We start from the raw sequence: 20,226 nt of genomic DNA, 5'->3' as shown, positions 1-20,226 counted from the left end.
CTCCCTTTCCATTATACTTAAGAATTAACTGTACTAATACATTTTAAGGTCTTAACATCATATTTAAATTATATACTCAGGAAAGAGAGTACATTCTAAGAGAAGGCTGTCAAAACACTGTGGCATTTGTTTTGTTGTTTGAATACATTGGCATTTCTTCACATGCCTTAGCAGAGACCTGACACCCTCTGTCTATTGGTGTCCTTGACAGTCAGGGAAGATAAATCAATAGCTTGGCACCCTTGCAGCAAACCCTTAGCATAGCCTTTACACATTATGCTGAACTTACATTTCTCAACAAAGGAATTGAGTGGCAAGAATTTCTTCTGAATACCTCAAAGAAAGACAAAACAAAGGAGCAATTTGAAGCTTCTAGGCAGGTAAATAAAGACATGGCTCCACTGATGTGCAGAATGCTGATGACAGAACCTGCAGCCACTGCAGACTTCCTATTAAGAAGAACCTAAGATGATCTGTGTTTTTTTAATTCATCATCCAATTTTCACATATAGAAATGTTCACCGTGTTATATGCTGCCCAAATATGAACATCTCAAAAAGAAAATGCTTCATAGTGAAGGCAACATTTCACTAAACTTACATAAGAAAAATGATACCAAATTCTAGACAAAGAAATTTGCTCGAGCCAGGACTTTCAAAATTCTTCTTTTCCCTTGTCTAAATCTTTCCACATATTCATTATTTACTAATTAATTTGCTAGTTAAATTATGGTTTGTAATGGGAACCACAATCCCTGTGATTTCACTTAACACAGAAAAGGACTAAGTTAGAGATGAACCCCAGACTCCAACTCTGGTCCTAAAAGTCTAAGGGTGCCAATTCATGGCCAGGTGTCACTGAAGCTACTACCAAACCAAGTTCACAGAAAGGAGATGATCAAGAGGAAAAGGAATTGGAAAGCCAGGCTAAATAATGGAATCCCAAAATATCCAGGGAAATGTAACAGGAAGAAAAGATATCTAAGAAGAGCTAGCAGGTGGATGAGGAAGTAGTATTTTTTTTTCTGTGTCATTCAGACGCATGCAGATTTAGAAGCTTAATTCTGAACCAGATTGCCTCAGGAAATAATGAACTTGTTATTGCAAATATTTAGGCAGAGGCTTGGCTCTGAGCACATCTGAATTCAAGCACATTACAGCACATCACATTGTTAGTAAGTGAGCTCTATCAATGGGTAGCCACAAAAGCCCAGGTATTCCTAGAGGAATCTGGGAGGTAAATGAAATTGGTCTGAATACCCAATGCAAATATATGTCAATAGCTTGCTGGACACAATTTAAGTGATCCTCCACACAAAAGATTCCAGCACATACTGTATCTAAGTATCAAACTCCATGAAGCCACTACTCTGCCCACTTTTCAGTAACTACACACCATTTTCTGACTCATGCTATCATCACCCGTCACTACATTCTACCTGGTCTGCTTGTCTCCAGACTTCCTTCCCTAAGCCCTTTCCCAAATTGCCAACAGGATACGCTTTCTAAAATGCAAATGTGATCACGCCATTCCCCTCCCTGTTTAGAAATCCTTTATGACCGGACCCCTGTCTGTCCTTCCAGTCTTATCTTCTGCCATCTCCCTTGATAGTTCAAGCTGAGCCATATGCTGTCCTCTCTGCCTAGAATACACCCTCAACTCAAGCCCCACTTCCTACTTCTCTTTTATTTCTATCTCAGAGGCTCTTTACCTCCCTCATCATAGCACCCATCAAACTATCTTGTTAGTATTTACCTGTTTAAATCTCATACTACTTTGTAAGCTGCCAGGAGGAGAAGAACCATGCCTGTTCATTTCACAGTTTCATCACCAGCATATAGCATTTGCACAGTGCTCGATAAATATTGAATGAATAAATGAACCATTCTACAAATTTGTCACATGTGTATAAACAGACACCTTAGCTGAGACTGCATTTAGGTTGCTACAGCTCATATCATCTCATGTAACTAAATAGCTGTGGTCTTTTATTTTACTCTATTATAATGCTAAAAATGAAATATGTTTAGTAGTCAACATCATGAGAAGCTTATGAAAATAGAGATGGCTATAAAATAGAGATCTAAGAAAGAATAAAGTTTTTCTTTCAGGGCCATTCAGATCACTTTCATGGCCTTAAATCTAGAAGATAAACAGGCATGCTGATATTGTTTTGGGTTGCCCTCATTATCTGGCACTTTTCCAGGAAGTCACTGATTTGTGGGGTGCTCAGCTGGAAATCAATAGAGAGACTTTGAAGAAAGTAAATGTATATCTCCAGGTCACCCATAACTAATACTGGTAAAGAAAGAACATTCAACATATTTCTAAAACCAAGAACAAATAGTAAAATCAAAACCTAACTACAGCAAAATCTCTCAGCCGCACCAATATTTGTTATGTGACTGAGTTATGTTTTCAATATTTATATATCTGGATATGCAACTTAGCATGTGAAAATTTCATTGAATGTCTTGATCTTGGGTCAATGCAATTTAGAAAGGAAGTAAAATGCCAGGAAAAAATTAAATGAGAAGGAAGGAAAGAAATGATTCAAGCAAATGGTGGAGCAAGTGCCTTTGTAAATGCTTTTATGTTTCACCATGAGACTCTCTATGCACGCCTTTTTTCTTTTCACATAATTAAAAATCAATAAAACTTATGTTGGATAAAGAATAATAGAAAAGAAAATCTAAACAAGAGCAATGACTTGTCCTTGAGAATGTGCGAATGTGCTTTGGTTTTTTTTTTTTAATTTTAACTAGAAAGTTGCTGCATATAATGGTAGCAGTAGCTTACTTTCTCAATGGATAAAGTAACTAGCTATCTAATATCCTTTTCCATCCGATGCATAGTCTTTTATCCGTGCCTTGATGAAATTCTTAGAATAATTTGCCACTGAACAAACCTTGACCTCTGCCTTCATGAGAATGACAGTGAACAGTTGGATGGTGCTTCTGAAACTCTGAGGGAGGTGGATGAATGAGTTTGTAGTTGGGAGGGGGGCAGTTAGGAGTGTCTTTCTACTCACCACTAATTCCAGCCAGAAGAGAAAAATAGCAGTGGCAGAGGTAACAGTACAGGAGCATGAAGCTAATTTTAGGATTCTGTTTTGCCATCTTGTGCCTCCACCTAAATTTCACATAGCACTGATTATCTAAGGTCTGAGTCTCCCATTAGATTACAAATTTCATTAAGGCAAGGACCTCACCAGTCTTGTTCCTGCTCTACCCTCAGGGACTAGCACAAGAGAGGAATTCAATAAATATGTATTGAAAGAATGAACAAGTGGATGAATCCATTCATCTCTGCATAGCTCCATCAGTGGAGGTTGGGGAAGATCACCCATGCTTCTTATTACAGTCATTTATATGATCTGTTGCACACCATGCCATTAATTCAGCCAACCATTCACTCAATCAGTCAGTCAGTTATTTAACAAATATTTATCACACACATATTAAGTGTCTGGACATATACTGGATATTGAGAACTCAATGGTGAACAAGGCTGACATGCGCCCTGCCCTCAATGGGCTACAGACAAGCAGGGAAAGCAGACATTAAATCAACTAATCACAAGCATGATGGATAAGCATTCTAATTAGGGAAATAAAAGATTCAATGAAAATGAGTAACTGGGAGGCCTCACCAGATAAGAATGTAAGGGCAGATTGGCTCCAAATCTTGACGATGAGTCAATAAACATCTCTAAAAACATATCCAACAAAGTATGTCTTAGCAGTAGCATATCACAGAGAAATAAACAGGACTGGGCTACCAACCATTTGCAACATAACTGGTATCAGAGATGTGAAAGGAACTGGAGAAACTTGGTTCCTCATAGGTCACTTTGGTTTGCTAAAAAGTTCCAAATTTACGCATTAGCAAAACAGCATATACCCTTTTGCCCTAGTTTGTCCTTCCATTCATTGCGTTCAGCTTATCTTTTAAAACAGGTTCAGTACATCCACAGAAACATAATGTACTCTATATTTTTATTCTAACATTAACTTTTAATTTATTTTTGTTACTTCGGGTGTCTAAAATGTATTAATAAATTTTTCCATAGTGTTTGTGGCCTAGAGTTGTTCAAATAAAGGATGTAATTTTAAATATCTAAATAAATGGACCTGTTTGAAATAGTGTTTACATTGTTTGAACATGTGTAGCTTCAGGGAAGGAAGTTTTTTTGTAATAGCATTAGGAAATAATTTGCACTTATTTTTCTGGCTGTCCTATATATCTTTGTAGCCACATCCTCAGCTCACTGACAGGCACCACTAATCTAAAAGTAATTTCTTTGCCATACACAAAAAGTACAAGAGGAAACCAGTTTAAGAGATGACAGACAATTCTAAATTTGATTCACCAAAACCTCTAAAAAAAAATCTTTTTTTTTTTTTTGAGACAGAGTCTCGCTCTGTTGCCCAGGCTGGAATGCAATGGCACAATCTTGGATTCTCATGTCTCAGCCTCCCGAGCAGCTGGGATTACAGGTGTGCGCCAACACACCCAGCTAATTTTTATACTTTTAGTAGAGAAGAGATTTTGCCATGTTGACTGGGCTGGTCTCGAACTCCTGGCTTCAAGTGATCCGCCCACCTCAGCCTCCCAAAGTGCTGGGATTAGAAGCGTGAGCCACTAGTCTCAGCCTCTAAAAAACTCTTTAAACTCAGTTGGAGTTTTGTGTGTGTGTGGTTTTTTTGTTTGTTTGTTTTTGGTTTTTTGTTTTTTTGGATGGTTCTAGTTTTTCGGATATGTTCCTCTATTTTAACTGGGTCATTAAGACATCACTAAGCAAAATATTTGCTCCAGAAAACTTGAAGTGTATTGAATGCTAACCTGAAGGAAAGAAAAAGAAAAACTTGCTGCCCCTTCTCCTTCCTTCCTCCTGAAATACCAAAAGAGGAAGACCTGTCAGAGACAAAGACGCTCCAGTGCCGTTGGCACATGTTCCAGGCTCAGACAGGAGAGGCTGTCCCTGAGCACAGATATGCCCACCACACATCACAACACGGTGATTCATGCTATCATACTGCAAGGCAACAGGAGAAGCCTGCCTTCACATGCCATTTATGCTTAATGAAAAAGATGTTGATTTTCAAACCCTGGAGGGTGATTTGGGCTGAGACTGAATTAAGTTAAGCATTTGGAAAATTAAAGTTAAAAAAAATACAGTGTATATCACAGTATAATAAGTGGCAAAGAAGCCAATAAGCCTTTTATGGAAAAGGTGGGGAACAGCATGAATGAGCCATGCTGGTTTGCTTGCTTATTTTGTGGTGGGTGGGGGAAGCAGGGAGCAGGGGAGTCATTGCTGTATGTTTACTGTCTGCTTGACAAAAGAAAAATTATTTTGTTTCGGTCAGGCGCGGTGGCTCACACCTGTAATCCCAGCACTTTGGGAGGCCAAGGTGGGAGGATCATGAGGTCAGGAGATCGAGACTATCCTGACTAACATGGTGAAACCCCTTCTCTACTAGTAATACAAAAAATTAGCCAGGCATGGTGGCAGCCGCCTGTAGTCCCAGCTACTTGGGAGGCTGAGGCAGGAGAATGGTATGAACCCGAGAGGTGGAGCTTGCAGTGAGCCGAGATCGCACCACTGCACTCCAGTCTGGGTGACAGAGCCAGATTCCGTATCAAAAAAAAAAAAGAAAAAAAAGAAAAATTATTTTGTTTCTTCCTGCTATATGGCAAGTTCTTCTATTGCCAGGAGTACACTTTAGCAATCATCTTTACCATATCGATTAGAATGGCACAAGAATCAAGATTCTATCGTTCCAGAACCAGGTAATCACATTGATCCAATTTTATCAATAATTTACCATCAAGGATTAACACTCACATGGTGCTCTGTCCTTACCAAGAGTTAATATCTATTGAACATTCAATTTACTTACCACTTTTGGCTTTGCTATAAAGTGTAACTTAAATATTAAGTTGTTTTGTACATTTCTGAAATTGCTTAAAATTAATAGCCAACATTAGCAATATCGGAGATTTTACTACAACTATTGATACCTCCAATAATTCGGATGAATTTCCAAGTCTTAACAAGCCAATAAACAAACTTACCCATATCTGAAGTAAGTGCTAAACTGTCTGCAGAGGCGATGGGCAAGCTCTCGTTTCCCACAAGCTTCAGGACCAGCTAGTATCAGCATGGGATAAGGGGCATCCAGGCTGGGAAGAGTGCTACAACACAGGACCAGAGTCAGTTCTCCTATTGCAGTCAGGGAGACAGCACATTAACTACATCCATTAGGCCACCATTAACCTGGCTAAATGAGCACTTGCTATATAAGACCCTGCGTAGAAGAATAGTTGTCCTTTCCAGAAACAGATTGATTATATGTCAAAAATAATATTCAAAGCATAGATAACAAATAAGGTAAAATATGAACTTACGTAAATTTACTTTAACATGACTTTTAAAGGAAAAATATAACATTTATTGGTTCTTGATGGCTAGAGTGAAATATTCCTCCCCAAAACTGATCAATGAAAGAAATAAGACTGTTAAAGTTAAATAAGACTGTAAAGTTAAGATAAATATTTATAACTACTGAATTAGAATGCAGGTATGCAAAGCCAACTTAACAGTAATAGCTAAAATTTACCTGAGCAATTACTATGTGCCAGGAAGCATTCTAAGAGTCATACATCCATTACCTCATTTAATTATCACAAGAAGCTAATGAAGATGTTTCTGTCATTATCCCCTTTTAACGTATGAAGAAACTGAAGTACAATGAGGTTAATTAACTTGCTCAAAGTGATAGTTAATAAGGGAGAGCTGATATACAAATGTAGGTTTGGCTGCCAAGCCTGAAGACTGGACTAAAGAATGAATTGATTAATAAAATCTCCCGCAGCCGGGCGCGATGGCTCAAGCCTGTAATCCCAGCACTTTGGGAGGCTGAGGCAGATCACCTGAGGTGAGGAGTTCGAAACCAGCCTGAACAACATGAAGAAACTCTGTCTCTACTGAAAATACAGAATTAGCGGGCATGGTGGTGCACACCCGTAATCCCAGTTACTCGGGAGGCAGAGGCAGGAGAATCTCTTGAACCCAGGAGATGGAGGTTACAGTGAGCCGAGATGGCGCCATTGTACTCCAGTCTGGGCAACAAGAGTGAAACTGTCTCAAAAAAATCATCATCATCATCATCATAATAATAAAATCTCCTGCAACACACTGAACAATGTGTTTAAACTCTACTCATGACACAAATTGTAGCAATCTAGAATAAAATATAAAATTTTAAAAAACCACATGGCTGAGGTGTGGATTCTATGAAGATGAAGGTGTAGATTCTGAGAAGAGTCTGTGGAAACAATGAAACAGCATAGTTTTTCAATCTCTCCGAATTCCCACAGAAAAACTTGAGAGCAAAAGCCTATGGGAAACACATATAAGTACATGAAACAGTATCGCCAAGAGCCATGGACCCACAAAACCTGTGTGGTACTACAGTCAATGCAGGAGGAAGAAGAGGGAAGCAATGGGCAGCATCTGACAGATCTGAGAGCAAGTGAACCCCAAAACAGCCACTGGGTACCTGCCAAGAGCAGGCAGCCTGAAGCTGTACATGTGCAAAAGCCTGGACATGAATGTTCATGACAGCTCTATTTGCAATCACCCAAAACTGGAATCAGTCCAGATGTCTTTCAACAGGTAAGCAGTTCAAGTAACTGTGATACTTTCACGCCATGGAATGCTACGTGGCAATAAGAAAGAATGAACTACTGATTCATGCAACAACTCGAATGCATTTCCAGGGAATTAGTCTGAGTGAAAAAAAGCCAATCCCAAGAGGCTATATACTGTATGATTCTATTTATATTACATGTTTGAAATAACAGCATTATAGATAGAGACAGGGACAGATTAGTGGTTTCCAGGGGTTAGGGAAGATGAGAGGGAGGGAGGTGCTATGGCTATTATAGAGTATTACAAGGGATCCTTGTGATAAAACTGCTCTATATCTTGACTGTAGTGGTGCTAAGATGAATCTACATGTGATAAAATTGCACAGAGGTAAATAGAACTAAAGACAAAAGAGCACATGCAAAACTGGTGAAATCCGATAAGGTTGGTGGATTTCCTGGTCAATTTCCTTGTTTTAATGTTCTGCTATAGCTATGCAAGATATCAACATTGAGGAAAACTGGATGACTGGTATATGGAATTTCTCTGTATTATTTCTTACAACTTCATGTGAATCTACAATTACCTCAAAATATATTTTTTCAAAAAAATAACTAAGAAAAAGAAAGTGACAAATATTGAAAATAAGCAAAAGAGAGCTTCTTCCTGAAGATGAAAACCAAAGGAACAGAAAACAGAGGCTATACTTCAAAAAAACCTTCCCTGAAATTAAAACAAACAAACAAACAAACAAAAAACACTACGCATTGAAAGGGCACACATTATACCTGAAATATCAGCTCAGAACTAAACCAGGACATAGTCTAGTAAAATTACTTGGCTTTAAAGAAAAAGAAAAAAACTTCCAATTAGAAAAAAAAAAAGCACATTACATATAAGGGAAAGAAAATTAAATTATCATCAGATTTTGTTTTATGCCAAAAGACAATGGAGTAACATTTTTAATATATTCAAGGAAAAAGGTGTGGATCATGAATTTTATATTTAGCAAAAATGACTTTCAAGTATAAAGGGCATACATTGTTATAACATGCAAGAATTCAGAGGATACTGATGCCATATCCCTTCCTAAGGAAAATACTAGAAAACAAGCTTCAAACAACCAAAGTGACTCAAGGGACATCAATATAACTACTGGTAGTGAGCAACAACTATGTAGTTAGCCAGAGAATTGAGACTAAATAACAGCAAAGAAGGAGAAAGCACGGTATGTGATGGCTGTATGTTTTGACAATATAAATATAGTACAACACTATTTTCTAAAAGGGGTGGTTGACACTTATATGAAATATATAGAATAGGCAAATTCATAGAGACAAAAGTACATTAGAGCTTACCAGAGGCTGGGAGCAGAGAAGAACCAGGAGTTATTGCTTAATGGGTACAGAGTTTCTGTTTGGGGTAATGAAAATGTTTTGGAAATAGATGGTGGTGATGGTTACATAACATTATGAATGTACTTGATGCCACTCAACTGTCCACTTTAAAATTGTTAAAGTGGCAAATTTTGTTACATATATTTTACCACAATAAAAAACATGGGAGGAAATGGGTAAATTGTAGGCAAAAAATATTTTTAATGTTTTCAGGAATCATTTTGGTGGTAGTATTAGTACTGGTATTCTAATACCACTGTGGTACAATCTAGGATTTTTTCAAATGAGTAATTATGGGATTTGGTAATTTCATCTTCCTCTGTGTCCCTTAGAACCAGATTTCTTGGTGTGGGAAAAAAGGAAATACCCATACAATAGCGAGGAGGTTGAGTAAAAGCTTAACTGTAGTTTTGGAATCAAAATTGTAAATATCAAGAATTCAGGAGGTATTTAATCCATCTATCTATAGATAGACACAGATAGGTCTACCCAAACAGACAGATAGATATAGATAGAACAGATACAGGTAGGTACAAATAGATTGGATGGATGGATGGATGGATGGATGGATGGATGGATGGATGGATGGACAGAGGAATTGATGAAAAGAGTTACATTCTTAGCTCTTTCCACTAAAAGGCCTCTAAATAAATGACCAACCTGGTAGCAATGAGTATCTTAACCCCCAGACTGGAATTGGGAAATACTATTTTTCACTAAAACTGGGGCTTCTTGCAGAAAAGGCTGATTCCAGATTTGGGACAGGACATGTACCAGATGAGTCTGGAGAACTTTGTCATATCAGAAGGTAAGAAGCTATCAATGACTACCAGACCAGAGTCAAGGTTTGGCCATGTCATTTTAATACTGTATCCTCACCCCAATTATACCAGGAGAGGGGACAGTGATTCCCCAGTAATGGCAGCATACAAGTCCCAAAGCCAAGGGTTGGGGTTCCTCTCCTGGATCCTGACTTCTGGTGCTGACAGAGAGTTGTGTACTGGCCTAGACAGAGTAGGAAGGGCATTGCAGGCCTGCACACTAGCTACTGGTCCTTTGTCCATGAGTTTCCACAATGAATGCCACTCCACCCTGGAACATCTGGGCCTACTTGGCCTTTATTCTTGTTTTCCTGACAGCCAGAAATGATCAAGACATATGTGTTTATCAAACACTGCTGCAAATTTCCTTGATATATGTTTTTATTTAAACGTACCCTAAAGCATGAAACAACTAGCAATACCATAAACTAGAATAGAAATACAATGAGGAGATAAATGCCCCTCTTTTGAATCAAATGTGCTTTTCCAGATGTATGTAATAAATGATAATTCATTTCACCTAGAGGGCCACCATAAACATGTGAAACTGTCAACGTCTACATTATTAAATTATATGTAAAAATCATGTCCTGGGTTGCAAAATAAAACATTTTGCTCTCTGTGGGAAACCAGCCATGTGAAGTACAGGAGCAAATACCACATGAAGAAGAGAAGCCATTTATATCCAAGAGATTTTACAAGTATTTTTAAAATGCCTTTGGGTATTGATAGAATTTCTGCATTATACTTAGAGCATAAATGGCCATCTGCTCCAACAGATTGTTTTAAAAAGAAATGAAGAAAGCATGGTAAATCTGTCTTCGAATTCAGAGGTGAGAGACTCTGTTCATGTGTTCCACCGAGCTGGGCGACTCCTCCCTGCTGAGTTTATCGCAGCTTAGTGCAAAGACTGTTTCAGGTTTTCCTTAGGCTAGCTGGGCTTCCTTCTAAGGGACTCCCTAATAATGTGAATTCATGGAACAGTCTTTGGCAAGGGTATTTAGCTTCCACTCACAGCTGAGGGAAAATTTACAATGGATATAAATTACCACAATTTTCTGTTAAGGTTAAGGTCTGTGTTTCTCTCCTAAGGCAGAAAAATTGGTCCTGGTTTTTTTTTTTTTTTTTTTTTTGAGATTTCACTGTTGTGTGGCACACGCTGGCCACCATACAAGTGGCCAGAAAAACTAGTGAAGGTGAATCAACTCATCACCATGCTTGGGAAAATACCAGCAAGAAAGCAACACACTCAAGTACATGATATTAATAATATACCATAATGGAGACAATATTGTCTATCAAATAAAGACTTGGCCCCTTCCCTCAGAGAAAGGGAAAAAGCAGCCTTTATAGGAAATAAAGGGGTCACAAAATAGGGGTTAGGGGAAGTGATGAGGCTGTCTTTTGCTTGCTCACCCTGAATTCCGGCCTTTGGATTTCTAATAAGTACCTGTCAAAGATCCTCTGCGGCTGCATCACGCTGTTGACAACATGGGTCAGGTGGTCTTGAGCTGCAACCACTTCAGGGGGAGGATCATATTTATTCACTGCTGAAACCTTTTCCAGAATTAGAGATGTAAAAGGGAAAAAAAGTTTTGTTTCTAAAAAGAAGACAAAGCTTGGATTTTTCCTTAATGAAATGTTGTTCACGTGCAGCCAGGTACACAAAATAATTTAACACACACCCATTAACATTAGTATTCAGTCTTCATGTCTACTCTAATTTTCCTAAAATTTAAGAAATGATAATTATTTAAAAATATTGAGTGGAGTCTTTTGATCTCCTACTTCTTTATTCTGCCTGGTTTGGGAGGGAAAATGGCAAAAAACAAAAACACACACAAAAAAACCACCAAACAAAAACCCACAGCCCCTCTAAAGCCCATGATTACTTTGAATATAGTAAACATTCCAACTTTTAATATGTGAAAAAGGAATAAAACTTATAGCTGTAGATTCCAGGTTTTGATGCATGCGGAATGTTTTCCTCATACCATTTCACCAAGAATGATTCCCACAATCTCAAATTCTACCAAAACTTCCTCCTCATTTAGCATAACTTTGTTCATTCAAGGATATGGGCCTTTTCTTCATAATGTACAGTTCTTCATCCCCTTGTCTTTCCCATTCTTCTAAATACATTATCCTCATCTATCATATGCCATATCTTTACTTAATACATGGTTTTAAATTGTATTCCTTTTGCAAAATGTTAAAGGAAAAGAGGAATCTAATAAGTACCTTTGAGTGTGAGAATAATGACAGACTGGCATCTGTAACTGCTTTTAACCAAGATTTCAGAAAGGCATTTATGAGATGGAATACGTGCCTCTCTACATATTTATACCTGTTTTCATTCCTGTCTCAAATTTGCATCCAGTGTAAGAAATCCCTCATTAGTAGAGATTTTGGCTGTCACCAGCTACTAAAGCAAGACAAAGCAGTGACCATGAGTATGAAAAGCAGGGAGGCAGGTGCTAGCATTCAAGTTCTGGTTATTCTGGAATTTTGTGACTAGATGAATCATTTTTTTAAAGAGCAGAATTAAGGATTTAAAATATCAGAGTAGTGATTTATTTGAGTACCTTTTGATTATATGGTAGAGTGACATTATAATGCATTTTATTGTTAAATGAATTTTTCAGGTAACACAGATAGAATCATACACCTTCCAAACAGGAAAGTTTTTCAAACTGATAGTCTGCCATAAAGCTGCGACCTATATAAGTGGAGTGCTGCTTCTGTTCCCCACAGCCAACCTCTTCACTGTACTAACAGCAAGACATCAGGCCTTTCACTGCATTTGTGTTGATACTCACCTTTGCAGAGGGTTAAATGAACAGATCCTAAGGCAAGGAAACATTCCCTAAATGAATTAATGTACATATTGTTATGTGTCTTATTTATTGATTATATTGCTTCCACAGCAGGCAACACGAGCTTTTGAGCATATTAACCCAATAACACAATGGTAATGTTATGACATGATTACATACCTTTTCTTCCACTTTAATCTTCTTCTGATCTAATTCTGTTAATCGCAGAAGCATAAAAATTACGAAGAACCAATATTCAGACTTTTCCTATTTAAAATATCAAGAGGACTGTTCAGTTGCCTTCCTTTTCCCAAATCAACAAGCACCAGCATTGGGTTTTCATGAGCTTGGGCCTTTCACCTACTACCTCATCATTCCCACACACACCCTCACAGGACTATGCATTTCACGCTTCCCAGTCCCCTTACATTAACTCAATGCAGACTGTGCCTTGTAACTTATAAAGGTCTTCAAGTGTACACTCTTGTTAATCTCCCTGTGAGATTTGAGATTAACAGGACAGGTGGATTATCTTCATTTCTTTTTTTAAAATTTAATTTAATTGGCCGGGCAAAGTGGCTCACACCTGTAATCCCAGCACTTTGCGAGGCCAAGGCAGGCAGATCACGAGATCAGGAGATCGAGAACATCCTGGCTAACATGGTGAAACCTTGTCTCTACTAAAAATACAAAAAAATTAGCCAGGCATGGTGGCAGGTGCCCGTAGTCCCAGCTACTCAGGAGGCTGAGGCAGCAGAATGGCATGAACCCAGGAGGCGGAGCTTGCAGTGAGCCGAGATCGCGCCACTGCACTCCAGCCTGGTTGACAGAGGGAGACTCTGTCGAAAAAAAAATTTAATTTAATTTTAAGTTCTGGGATACATGTGCAGGACGTGCAGGTTTCTTACATAGGTAAGGGTGTGCCACGATGGTTTGCTGCACCCATCAACCCATCACCTAGGTATTAAGCCCCGCATGCATTAGCTATTTATCCTGATACTCTCCCTCCTCCCGCCCCTGACAGGCCCCAGGGTATGTTGTTCTCCTCCCTGTGTCCATGTGTTCTCATTGTTCAGCTCCCAGTTTTAAGTGAGGACATGTGGTGTTTGGTTTCCTGTTCCTGTGGTAGGTTGCTGAGGATAATGGCTTCCAGATTATCCTCATTTCTAAAGGCTACCAAGCCTCAGAAAAGTGAAGCGTCTCATCTAAGATCCCGTGGCCAGTGACTCAAACCCTGTCTTGTAACTCCAACAAGTCTCAATTCTGCAAATAATGAAACTTTAATATTTTATATTATTTTGTTATTATTTATATGCAATATTTCGTATTAATTTGTATTATTATGAATTTGTTTGTAATAATAAAATGATATTCATTTATAAAACAAACTCCTTATTACTCCCTACCATCAGGATTATCTGCCTTTTGGAAATTATAATTAGAGTTTTTGTAGTAAGAAGCCATGCCTCTTTGAGGGGAAAGACATTAGATATTAGCGGATGATCTGTTATATATTAGGTTGGTGCAAAAGTAATTGTGGTCTTTGTCATTAAAAGAATGAAAAAAACCACAATTACTTTTGCGCCAGTCCAATAGATGAGACCGTATATGAGGTGAATGTACAAAGCTTAGGTGTAAATGTTGGGGAGAGGTTTTGTATATAAATCAGTTAATGTGTCAAACGGCTTGTGATGCTTATTCATGCATATGCACAAACACCCTTCAGGGATTTGAAACTGAGGTGTGCTGGCCACTTTAAGCCCTGCCTCTTACTTTTCCAGAAATGCTTTTAAATTGCCTCCCACTGTTCCTGTCCCAAGGGCAGCTTTTAATTTATAAATCTTTCTTGTATTTTCTGTTTTTCACCTATCTAGACATGTTCATCAAGATACAAACAAAAAGAAAGTTACTAAGAGCTACATGCAAAGTCAAGAGCCTGTGGAAACTAAGTGAAGGATACAGGTAGAAGAATGGAATGAAGGACAAACAGACAAGGAGAGAGGGGAGGAGACCGGGAGAAAGCATCTGTCAATGGAGAGAAAGAGAAGGACTTGAAACACTCCCTGATCCTTCAGTCCCAGAGGTGTGAAGAACTCCTGGGAAATGTATTATTCTGTTCTATAATTATTTCACATATACATCAATTTCATGGCTATATCCAGGTAAATTAGGTAGCTAATCTTAGATTTTCTTTCCCCTGTTATAGAATAGGAACCACATTCTGTCTCCACCTCTGGTGTCTTGCATTGTCTAATGTCAGAGAACATTGTTCTGCAATCTTATTACCTCCTTCCTGTAACCTTTACCACAGGGGATGAGTCACAAATGACCAGCAGAGCAACTAAATGATATTCAGTTTCAGGCTTTCCTTCGCTGACAGTCATGTGACAGCTTGTTAGTCATGAGAGAAGATCTTATGTCTTAAAAAAAAAATTGTCACTTTAGGTACTACTAAACCCTTCCTTAGAAAGAAGGAAGATAGACAAACTCTATTCACATTCCTGATATTCTTTTATCAAAAGTACTTCTTGAAGAATTCCTAGATAGTTTCCCTCCACCATCCCACTTTCTTCTCTGTCTCCCTCCCTGATATAAATAATGTCTCACCTGAATTGGATTTTCTAGAAGATTGAGAACTCGAAGGATGGGTAAATTTTTAATGTATTCTATTTCTCTCAGCTCAGCAATCTGTTCAATCAAAGAAAAAAATTATCAACAGACTAAATGCACAAAGACAATAGAAAACATAATACAATAGAAGCCAGTTTGGGTCCTTTAAATTCAACTTATTTTAAAAATTGCTCTGTCTAGCTTTTTAATGAGAATTCCACAGAACTTCACAGAACAAGGGAATTATTGCATACCCCTTCTATAACTGTGCATGCACACAACCACGTTTTCTTTCTTCTTCTCTAGCTAGGGAACAGTAAGTTTCCTCCTCTTATCCATGTTCACTTTAAGGCAGAAATAAAATAGCATTCAAAGTCAGAAAAACAGTACAAAAATGCACCCAAGGATGACCTGGTTACCCACCCCACCGCCATTCCTAGCCTTCCAGCCCCCCAACTTCCTTCCCCAATCCTGCTTCTGTTACCCTGGTCATTTATGACTGGTTAAAGCCTTTTTTTTTTTTTTTGCGATGGAGTCTCGCTCTGTCACCAGGCTGGAGTGCAGTGCTGTGATCTCGGCTCACTGCAACCTCCGACTCCCTGGTTCAAGTGATTCTCCTGCCTCAGCCTCCTGAGTAGCTGAGATTACAGGCACACACCACCATGCCTAAATAATTTTTGCATTTTTAGTAGAAACGGGGTTTCACCATGCTGGCCAGGATGGTCTTGATCTCCTGACCTTGTGATCCGCCTGCCACAGCCTCCCAAAGTTCTGGGATTACAGGCATGAGCCACCCGGCCAAAGCCTTCTTACTGCATGTACATATATGGCTTTATCACTTTTTCCAACAGAGAATTATTTCAAGGTAAAAAACTAAAAATTGTATGACATATTTCTTGATGGGTGTGTACTGTTCACCTTGAACTCTTTAGCTAACTTGTACACTTATGTTTTATATACTTTTCTGTATAGGTTGTGTTTCACCATTTTAAAAAGTAGGAGAACAGAAAGAAAAAAAAAAGATTGCTTGACAGTTCCTTAATTTGACCAGAAATAGAACTTGGATTGCGGCAGGCCTGAATTCTCTACTAAATTAAAGGCAAATAGGTTTACTTAAATATTCTGTAATTAGCATAATTACAATTTTATCTCAAGTGTAGATATTACACTTTTGCAAAAAGTTAATCATCACTTTTTCATTTCTATTTTTCTCCAATCATTTCTGCATGCATTGGAAAGCACTCCTACAGAAGGGTCACCAAAAACTCCTGAGTTATCCAACCACAATACACAGCTAAAATGCAAACTAGACCCAAAGCCAAGTCAGAGGACAAACATATGCACCATGTTCAAAGGATGCCATTTTCAAAGATACAATATGAAAGGTGAACACCAGAGTTGCAATCTACAACCTGAACACATTAATCTTGTTAGAGCAACGTTATACTATTATACACATCTTTTTCCGTAAGATGACTAAACTGTCCATCAGTCTGCCATTTGGATTATCTTTTTTTAAAAGGGATCAATTGTTTTCTATTGTATTATTCAGGAAAGTGGAAAAGTAAACTTGTGAACAACGGATTAATTTCCTTCTAGCATTCCATCTGCTCTTATTCTTTTTTATTTATTTATTTATTTATTTTTGAGATGGGTTCTTGCTCTGTCACCCATGCTGGGGTGCAGTAGTATGATCATGGCTCACTGCAGCCTCAACCTCCCTAGCTCAAGGAACCTTCCTACCTCAGCCCCCGACCCCCGAGTAGCTGGGACTACAAGTGTGCACTGCCAAGCCTAGCTAATTTTTGTATTTTTTTGGAGACAGGGTTTTGCCATGTTGCTCAGGCTGTTCTTGAACTCCTGGGCTCAAGCAATCCACCCACCTCGACTTCCCATTCCCAAGTGCTAGGATTACAGCCGTGAGCCACCACACTGGCCTGCTCTTGTTTTTTGGACCTAACACTAATGTTAAGAGGAGATGTGTTCCTTCATTTATCACGTCTCACCAACAAGTTGTGGCCATGTGCACTTGCACACATTGCTGGTCAGAGTGGAAACTGGTGCATTCTTTCTATAGGGCAATCTGATGTATTTCACTTGTTTCATAAGCTGTGAACCAGTTCTCCCACTTCAAGGGGTTTATACTAAAGAGATCGTCTTGTATCTAATTTTTTTGTAAAGAATTAGATTTCCCTCAAGGCCATAGTCTCTAAGCATCACCATCTGGATCTAAAGGGAACTACTAAAGTCTTTTCTTTAAAAAAATTTATATAGAATATGTAATTTCTATATGTGAAATATTCTATATTCTAATTTTTTGTAAAAAAATTAGATACAAGAATATTCAGTCTAACATTATCAGTAAAAGTAAAACAAGTATGAATTCCTAAGAACACCATGATCCTGTAATTAAATGGGTAACAGTACAGTCCTATAGTAGGAACACTACATGCTCATTTTAGAAGATAGTGATATTTACAATGATTGACATGGAAAGATTTCCTTAATATGTTACAAACACCATGAACTGAGTGATCATGGAACATACAAAATTATATTACCACAAGATGTCAGCTGGGATCAGTTGGTTTTTTGAGAATTAAATGAAAGGGACCCATCTTCCCTTCCTGGCCTTCCATGGGTAGGATGAGGTAAGATGGGAGAAGGTATGGGGTGGCCTGGCTTCACCTCCCCACATCTACTGAATTAGCAAAGTGCCACAGATACTGCTTGCCCTGCATGCGCCCTCCCTCTCCTGCACAACCTACCCCGAGGACTCCACCCTCACATCTTTTCTCTGCAAAGGCCACAAACCCAGGGCTGTGTGCATAACAGACTTTTACAGCAGGAGTAGAGACAACAGCACCCCAAATAGCTTGCAGTGAAATACCACCAGAAAGGTTATATTCCTATGGGAAGTTCAGCCATCTGCTGCCAAGAATGTCATCTCAGCACAGTTGATCCCCAGACTCCAGTCCAGCGCATTCTCTCACCTCCTTTGCCCCTATTGACGATAGTCCACACCCCCATCCCCAAAGCACGTTGACTTCCTCTTCTTTTCTTCTTTTACCATTTCCCTCAAGGCCATAGTCTCTAAGCATCACCATCCAGATCTAAAGGGAACTACTAAAGTCTTTTCTTTAAAAAAAAACTTATATATGTGAATATACATTTCTATATGTGAATATATAAAAATATATAAGTACATATAAATATATGTTATATATACACACATATATATATTTGTCGTCTTAGAAAACAATTGGGTACAACCATTAAAATTTTTTTCGCTGCCACATTTAAACATAAATCTGTGCAGAAAAATATTTTTCAAACTGCGGGGAACCCATCAACTAGTTGATGATGATGGTAAGTGTATACTGGAATAAGAATCAACAGACAGATCAATGGAACAGAATAAATACTTCAGAAACAGATCTTCTCAGTATTGGTTTTGTTTTACAATTTTAAGAAGGGGGAAAAAGAAAAAAAAAAAAAGATTGCTTGACTTCCTATATTTGGCCAGGGTTAGAACTTGGGTTGCCGCAGGCCTGAATTCTCCACTAAACTAAAGACAAATAGTTTTATTTACGTTTTCTGTATCTTAGTAGAATCTTAAGAGAAATAAGAATGGTGTATACTTAAAAGATGAACCACAAATATTTTTCAAACTGTGAGGATCTATCAACTAGTTGATGATGATGGTGAGTGCATTACTGGAATAAGAATCAACAGACAGATCAATGGAACCGAATGCATACTTCAGAAAGTATTTCTGTATCAGTGAGAAAATTAGTATTATTCAATGAAACTATTTTTTAAATGAGTTAATGAATGGGAATTGGTTAGCACAAGGCTGAGGATATAATGAGTTCTCAATAAATGATAGCTGTTATCATTATATTACTATTAGATATTGGAAAAAGTAAATTAAGTTTTTACATTTTTAGTTATTGTGGATACAGAAGAGTTGTACATATTTATGGGGTAAATGTGATATTTTGATACAAGCATACAATGTGTAATGATCAAATCAGGGTAACTGGGGTATCCATCACCTCAAGCATTTATTATTTCTTTGTGTTAGAAATGTGACAATTCTACTCTTTTAGTTATTCTGAAATATACAGTAAAATATTATTAACTATAGTCACCTCATTGTGCTATTGAACACTAGATCTTATTCCTTCTATAAATTAAAATTTTTGTTTCAATTGTACCATAAAATAAATTATGGATTAAGAGTTGAAAGGTAATGAAAGAAACCAGGGGAAAAAAGTTTAGGTGAACACCTAACAGATTTCAGAACAGAGAAAGACTTCATAAAAATTTTAAAAATAATAAAGGGAGACACAAAGAAAAATATTGATAGACTTCATAAATTACTTTCAAATGTGTTTCAAAAGTACAATGAGTACAACGAAAAGCAGAAGAACGATAATAAAATAAATGATAGTTAAGGGCATGAATAGACAATTTCTAAAAAGAAAACTAAGTGTCTAACAAACAGGTCAAAAAAATGTTTAACCTCATGGGTAATCAAAAATTTTTATATAAAATAATGCAAAATACTGTTTTTCTCTACCAGAGTGACATAATTTTTAAAAGATATTTGCTCACAAAGGTGTAGTAAGATGTGCTTATAATATAGTATTCTAACTTCATATACTGCTGGTAGGACACTAATTAGTATGAATCTTTATGAAATATAGTAAGAGTCTTAAAAATGCCTATATCCAGTAATGGTATTTCCAAGAATCTATCCTAAGTAAATAATTTAAAATACACTTAAAGATTTATAAATAAGAATATATACTACAACAAATTTTAAACATAAATTTCAATAAGTAAATGTCTCAATAAATCCTGACTTATCCATTCAATAGAATATTTTACAAGTATTAATCAGAATTCTGAAATGTTGGG

The 20,226-nt window shown here is 37.6% G+C and overlaps 1 protein-coding gene across 12 annotated transcripts in view, besides 1 other annotated feature; it reads right to left on the bottom strand.

Annotated features, from left to right (window-relative positions):
* Nucleotides 1-20,226, bottom strand: part of LRGUK (leucine rich repeats and guanylate kinase domain containing) — a 149,346-nt gene that overhangs the window by 86,752 nt on the left and 42,368 nt on the right. For all 12 annotated transcript variants that reach the window (XR_002956408.2, NR_174939.1, XM_024446659.2 and 9 more), the window contains 4 exons: nucleotides 15,298-15,378; nucleotides 12,871-12,957; nucleotides 11,325-11,431; nucleotides 6,081-6,200 (listed from right to left, as the gene is read on the bottom strand). Coding sequence is in view for 10 of the 12 variants with exons in the window: in XM_024446659.2 (XP_024302427.1) it covers nucleotides 6,081-6,200; nucleotides 11,325-11,431; nucleotides 12,871-12,957; nucleotides 15,298-15,378 (395 nt within the window). In the remaining 2 variants the exon portion in view is untranslated. The remainder of the gene's footprint in view (nucleotides 1-6,080; nucleotides 6,201-11,324; nucleotides 11,432-12,870; nucleotides 12,958-15,297; nucleotides 15,379-20,226) is intronic.
* Nucleotides 30-579: an enhancer, noted in NCBI's record as "OCT4-NANOG hESC enhancer chr7:133874107-133874656 (GRCh37/hg19 assembly coordinates)". NCBI's record gives its function as "activates a minimal SCP1, AML or CMV promoter by ChIP-STARR-seq in naive H9 embryonic stem cells {active_cell/tissue: H9 hESC(naive)}" and the evidence as "EXISTENCE:reporter gene assay evidence [ECO:0000049][PMID:30033119]".

Source organism: Homo sapiens, chromosome 7 (genome assembly GCF_000001405.40).
Source record: "Homo sapiens chromosome 7, GRCh38.p14 Primary Assembly".
Taxonomy (NCBI): Eukaryota; Metazoa; Chordata; class Mammalia; order Primates; family Hominidae; genus Homo; species Homo sapiens.
This window is presented reverse-complemented; position numbering and strand designations above follow the sequence as displayed.